The 6,333-nt window shown below is 43.7% G+C and overlaps 1 annotated feature.

Moving 5' to 3' along the window:
• Positions 5,489-6,116: an enhancer, noted in NCBI's record as "NANOG-H3K27ac hESC enhancer chr17:26782409-26783036 (GRCh37/hg19 assembly coordinates)". NCBI's record gives its function as "activates a minimal SCP1, AML or CMV promoter by ChIP-STARR-seq in naive H9 embryonic stem cells {active_cell/tissue: H9 hESC(naive)}" and the evidence as "EXISTENCE:reporter gene assay evidence [ECO:0000049][PMID:30033119]".

Consider the following 6,333-nt stretch of genomic DNA (forward strand, 5'->3'; position numbering starts at 1 on the left):
GAAGAGCTGCTGGGCTGAGTTGCTGGGCTGAGCTGCTGGTTGTGAGCTAAGAGAGCATGGAATGAGTAGTGGAAGGAGGAAATTACAAAGATCAACTCTGGCCTAGCGATCAGTTGCATAAATGAGGACTATAGTATGCACCCATATTTTCTTATTTGCTGTGTTGACATTTTTTATGAATTTTCCCCATTTTATAAAAATATTTATTTTTTGTTAGTTAACTTTACAATCTATTTGCAGAATACCAAGGCAGGACTATGACAGAATTAAAAGAAAATGGGACATTACCCAGAGATCCTAGTCTTGGAGCTAGATGCAGTAAGTCTTGGGGCTTTCAAATGTCCTCCTATGGGGGGAAGAGTAAGTTCATTTTCATTTGTACACAGGATAAATAAATTATGAGTTAGAAGAGTTTGTTGTTATTGTTTTGGGAATTTAAATATGAAAGCAGATGTTGGGCAGCCAAGGGGAGGAGTGCAGTGAACATGCATCATGCTTTGTGTATCTTCTGAATAGGTTTTCTATTTGGGGAAAACTAGGATCTTTTGAATAGCTTTCCTATTTGGGGGGCATTCCTGACATTATGCAGTTCATCTTACCAACAGAGGAGCTAGAATTTCTTTTCCCTTGCTGCTAGAACTCAGGCTGTGACTGAGGCTCTATACTATTTTTTTAACTTTTATTTAGGTTGAGGGGTACCTGTGCAAGCTTGTTATATAGGTAAACTCAGGTCACAGGAGTTTGTTGTACAGATTATTTTGTCACCCAGGTACTAAGCCTTGTACCCAATAGTTATTTTTTCTGATCACCTCCCTACTCCCATCCTCCACCCTCAAGTAGGCCTCAGTGTCTGTTGTTCCCCTCTTTGTGTCCATAAGTTCTCATCATTTAGCTCCCACTTATAAGTGAGAACATGTGAATTTGGTTTTCTGTTCCTGCATTAGTTTGCTAAGGATAATGGCCTCCAGCTGCATCCATGTTCCCACAAAAGACATGATCTCATTCTTTTTATGGCTGCATAATATTCCATAGTGTATATATACCACATTTCCTTTATCCAGTCTGTCACTGATGGGCATTTAGGTTGATTCCATGTCTTTGCTATTGTGAATAGTGCTTCATTGAACATTCGCATGCATGTGTCTTTATGGTAGAATGATTTCTATTCCTTTGGGTATATACCCAATAATGGGATTGCTGGGTCAAATGGTAGTTCTGTTTTTAGCACTTTGAGGAATCACCACACTGCTTTCCATAAAGGTTGAACTAATTTACACTCCCACCAAGAGCGTGTAAGTGTTCCCTCTTCTCCTCCACTTCACCAGCATCTGTTATTTTTTGACTTTTTAATAATAGCCATTCTGACTGGTGTGAGATGGTATCTCATTGCGGTTTTGATTTGCATTTCTCTAATGATCAGTGATATTGAGGTTTTCTTCATATGCTTGTTGGCCGCATGTATGTCTTGTTTTGAAAAGTGTCTGTTCATGTCCTTTGCCCACTTTTTAATGGAGTTGTTTGGTTTTTTTCTTGTAAATTTGTTTTAAGTTCTTTATAGATGCTGGATATTAGACCTTTGTCACATGCATAGTTTGTTAATATTTTCTCCCATTCTGTGGGTTGTTTGTTTACTCTGTTGATAGTTTCTTTTGCTGTGCAGAAGCTCTTAAGTTCAATCAGATTCCATTTGTCAATTTTTGCTCTTGTTACGATTGCTTTTGGTGTTTTCATCATGAAATCTTTCCCTGTTCCTATGTCCAGAATGGTATTGCTTGGGTTGTCTTCCAGGGTTTAGGGCTTTAATTCATCTTGAGTTTATTTTTGCTTATGGTGTAAGGAAGGGGTCTAGTTTCAATCTTCTGCATATGCCTACCCAGTTCTGCATATCCCAGCACCATTTATTGAATAGGGATTCCTTTCCCCATTGCTTGTTTTTGACAGCTTTGTTGAAGATCAGATGGTTGTAGGTGTACATACTTATTTCTGGGTTATCTATTCCATTCTGTTGGTCTATGTGTTTGTTTTTGTACCAGTTCCATGTCATTTTGGTTACTGTAGCCCTGTAGTATAGTTTGAAGTCAGGTAACATGATGCCTCTAGCATTGTTCTTTTCACTCAGAATTGCCTTGGCTATCGGACTCTTTTTTGGTTCCATATGAATTTTAAGATAGGTTGTTTTTTTTTTTTTTTTTTTTTGAGACAGAGTTTCACTCTTGTTGCCCAGGCTGGAGTGCAATGGCGCAATCTTGGCTCACTGCAACTTCTGCCTCCCAGGTTCAAGCAATTCTCCTGCCTTAGCCTCCTCAGTAGCTGGGATTACAGGCATGTGCCACCATGCCTGGCTAATTTTTTGGTATTTTTAGTAGAGGCAGGGTTTCTCCATGTTGGTCAGGCTGGTCTCCAACTCCTGACCTCAGGTGGTCCGCCCACCTTAGCCTCCCAAAGTGCTGGGATTACAGGTGTGAGCCACCGCGCCCGGCCAAGATAGTTTTCTCTAGTTCTGTGAAGAATGTCATTGGTAGTTTGATAGGAATAGCATTGACTCTGTAATTGCTTTGGGCAGTATGTCCATTTTAATGATATTGATTCTTCCTATGCATGAGCATGAAATGTTTTCCATTTGTTTGTGTTATCTATGATTTATTTGAGCAGTGTTTTGTAACTCTCATTGTAGAGATGTTTCACCTCCCTGGTTAGCTGTATTCCTAGGTATTTTAATCTTTTTGTGGCAATTGTGAATGGGATTCCGTCCCTGATTTGGCTCTTGGCTTGGCTGTTGTTGGTGTAAAGGAATGCTAGTGATTTTTGTATGTTGATTTTGTATCCTGAAACTTTGCTGAAATTGTTTATCACCTGAAGGAGATTTGGGCTGAGACTACGGGGTTTTCTAGATGTACAATCATATCATCTGCAAACAAGGATAGTTTGATTTCCTCTCCTCCTATTTGGATCCCTTTATTTCTTTCTCTTGCCTTATTGCTCTGGCCAGGACTTCCAATACTGTGTTGAATAGGAGTGGTGAGAGAGGGCATCCTTGTCTTGTGCTGGTTTTCAAGGGGAATGCTTCCAGCTTTTGCCCATTCAATATGATGTTGGCTGTGGGTTTGTCATAGATGGCTCTTATTATTTTGAGGTATATTCCTTCAATGCCTAGTTTATTGAGAATTTTTAACATGAAGGATGTTGAATTTTATTGAAAGCCTTTTCTACATCTATTGAGATAATCAATCAAGATTGCCCTCACCAATCTATTGAGGCCTCGAACAGAACAACAGGGCAGAGTAAAGGTGTAACAAAACAAAACAAAACAACAACAACAAAAAACTTTGCTTTTCCTATTTTCTACTCTCACTCAGTACAATATTTCTGACATTGGATGTGTGGAGTTATTTTCCCCACACACCAAGCAGTCAATTCTCTGGTGGACATCAACTGGATGGCCTATAATTCAATTCAATTCTGACACTATCTGCCTGGAGATAGTGTCAGATCCTACAGGTTGAGGGCTCAATCCCACAAGAATACCCCCCATTTCAGATACCAGTCACAAGTAATAAGTTGTCATCTATACTTCTGACCAATCAGATATAAACTGGGGTTTCTACCATCTCCTTCTCAGGTTCAATTAATTTGATAAGACAGCTCCCACAGAACTCAGGAAAATACTTACAATTACCCATTTATTTACTTATTTGTTTATTTAAGTAGTCATCATCATTGGATACCCATTTATTCTAAAGAATATCACGGCCAGGTGCAGTGGCTCATGCCTGGAATCTCAGAACTTTGGGAGGCCAAGGCAGGAGGATCAGACCAGTCTCAGGAGTTTGAAACCACCCTGGGCAATATGGCAAAACCCCATCTCTACAAAAAATAAAAAAATTAGCCAGGCATGGAGGCACACACCTGTGGTCCCAGCTACTCATGAGGCCGAGGTGGAAGGATCACTTGAGGCCGGGAGGTTAGGGATGCAGTGAGCCAAGATCATGCCACTGCACTCCAGCCTGGGCAGCAGAGCAAGGCCCTGCCTCAATAAAATAAAATTAAAATTAAATTAAATTAAAAGGGATTTCACAAAGGATACAGATGAGCAGCCACATGGAAGAGATGCATAGGGCAACGCATGTGGGAAGAGCACGGAGCTTTCATGCCGTCTCCAGGCTCACCACCCTCCAAGCACCTTCAACATGTTCAGCTATTTGGAAGCTCTCCAAACCAATTCCTTTTGGGTTTTTATGGAAGCTTCATTGTGTAAACATAATTGATTAAATCATTGGCCATTGGTGACCAACTCAAGCTTTAACCCATCTCCCCTCCTGAGAGGTTGGGGGTGGGAGTGAAAGTTCCAACCCTCTAATCATGCCTTGGTTTTTCTGGTGACCAGCCCCTATCCTGAAGTTCCCTGGGAGTCGTCAGCCGCCTCATTAGGATACAAAAGATGCTCTTATCACTGTGGAGATTCCAAGGGTTTTAGAAGTTGTGGGCCAGGAAACAGGGACAAAACCAAATATATATTTCACAATATCACAAACAGGAAATTCTCTTCCTCTCTTCTTGAACTGGGACATCCATCTTCTCCTGCCCTGGGACATCAGAGTTCCCGGTTCTCAGTCCTGCCAGACTACTGGACTTACACCAGAGCCTCCCAACCTCCACCCCCTCTCATCAGGCATCCTTACTTGGACTGGGAGTTACATCATCAGGTCTCCTGGTTCCCAGGCCTTCGGGTTCAAACTGAATTACACGCTGGCTTTGGTCAATGAAAAGAGTCAAATCCTATAAAATATTTAAGGAGGTTTATTCTGAGTCAAGTGTGAGTGACCAAGGCCTGAGGCACAGTCTCAAGAGGTCCTCCCAACATGTGCCCAAGGTAGTTGGGTTACAATTTGATTTGATAAATTTTAGGGAGATGTTAAGACATCAGTCAATACATATGGGTTAGGCCAGATGCCGTGGTTCACGCCTGTAATCCCAGCACTTTGGGAGGCCAAGGCGGGTGGATCATTTGAGGTCAGGAGTTCGAGACTAGCCTGGCCAACATGGTGAAACGCTCTCTACTAAAAATACAAAAATTAGTTGAGTGTGGTGGCGCACGCCTGTAGTCCTAGCTACTCGGGAGGCTGAGGCAGGAGAATTGCTTGAACCCAGGAGGCAGAGGTTGCAGTGAGCCAAGATTGAGCCACTGCACTCCACCCTGGGAGACAAAGTAAGACTGTCAAAAAAAAAAAAAAAAAAAAGCAAAGAAACATTTTCACGTAAAATATTTTGATTTCCTTCTATTTCTGTTATGTGATGTTATGCCACAGTCAAGTTGGAAAGTACACTACATTATATAGGGTTAAATAAAATCCATCTGATGAGATTTTATGGTTTGTAGGGCATAACTCCTCAGGTCCCTTGGATAAGAATTTGGGCAAGCAAGGAAAAAGGTCAGAGTTTAGCCCTCACCTTCCTGGTTCTCCAGCTTATAGATGACAGATGGTGGGACTTCTTTTTTTTTTTTTTTTTTTTTTAAATTTATTTTTTTATTGATAATTCTTGGGTGTTTCTCACAGAGGGGGATTTGGCAGGGTCATGGGACAATAGTGGAGGGAAGGTCAGCAGATAAACAAGTGAACAAAGGTCTCTGGTTTTCCTAGGCAGAGGACCCTGCGGCCTTCCGCAGTGTTTGTGTCCCTGATTACTTGAGATTAGGGATGGGTGATGACTCTTAACGAGCATGCTGCCTTCAAGCATCTGTTTAACAAAGCACATCTTGCACCGCCCTTAATCCATTTAACCCTGAGTGGACACAGCACATGTTTCAGAGAGCACAGGGTTGGGGGTAAGGTCACAGATCAACAGGATCCCAAGGCAGAGGAATTTTTCTTAGTGCAGAACAAAATGAAAAGTCTCCCATGTCTACTTCTTTCTACACAGACACGGCAACCATCCGATTTCTCAATCTTTTCCCCACCTTTCCCGCCTTTCCATTCCACAAAGCCGCCATTGTCATCCTGGCCCGTTCTCAATGAGCTGTTAGGCACACCTCCCAGACGGGGTGGTGGCCGGGCAGAGGGGCTCCTCACTTCCCAGTAGGGGCGGCCGGGCAGAGGCGCCCCTCACCTCCCGGACGGGGCGGCTGGCCGGGCAGGGGGGCTGACCCCCCCCCCCACCTCCCTCCCGGACGGGGCGGCTGGCCGGGCGGGGGGCTGACCCCCCACCTCCCTCCCGGATGGGGCGGCTGGCCGGGCAGAGGGGCTGCCCCCCCACCTCCCTCCCGGATGGGGCGGCTGGCCGGGCGGGGGGCTGACCCCCCCACCTCCCTCCCGGACGGGGTGGCTGCCGGGCGGA

This window comes from Homo sapiens, chromosome 17, assembly GCF_000001405.40.
Source record: "Homo sapiens chromosome 17, GRCh38.p14 Primary Assembly".
In the NCBI taxonomy this organism is placed as follows: domain Eukaryota; kingdom Metazoa; phylum Chordata; class Mammalia; order Primates; family Hominidae; genus Homo; species Homo sapiens.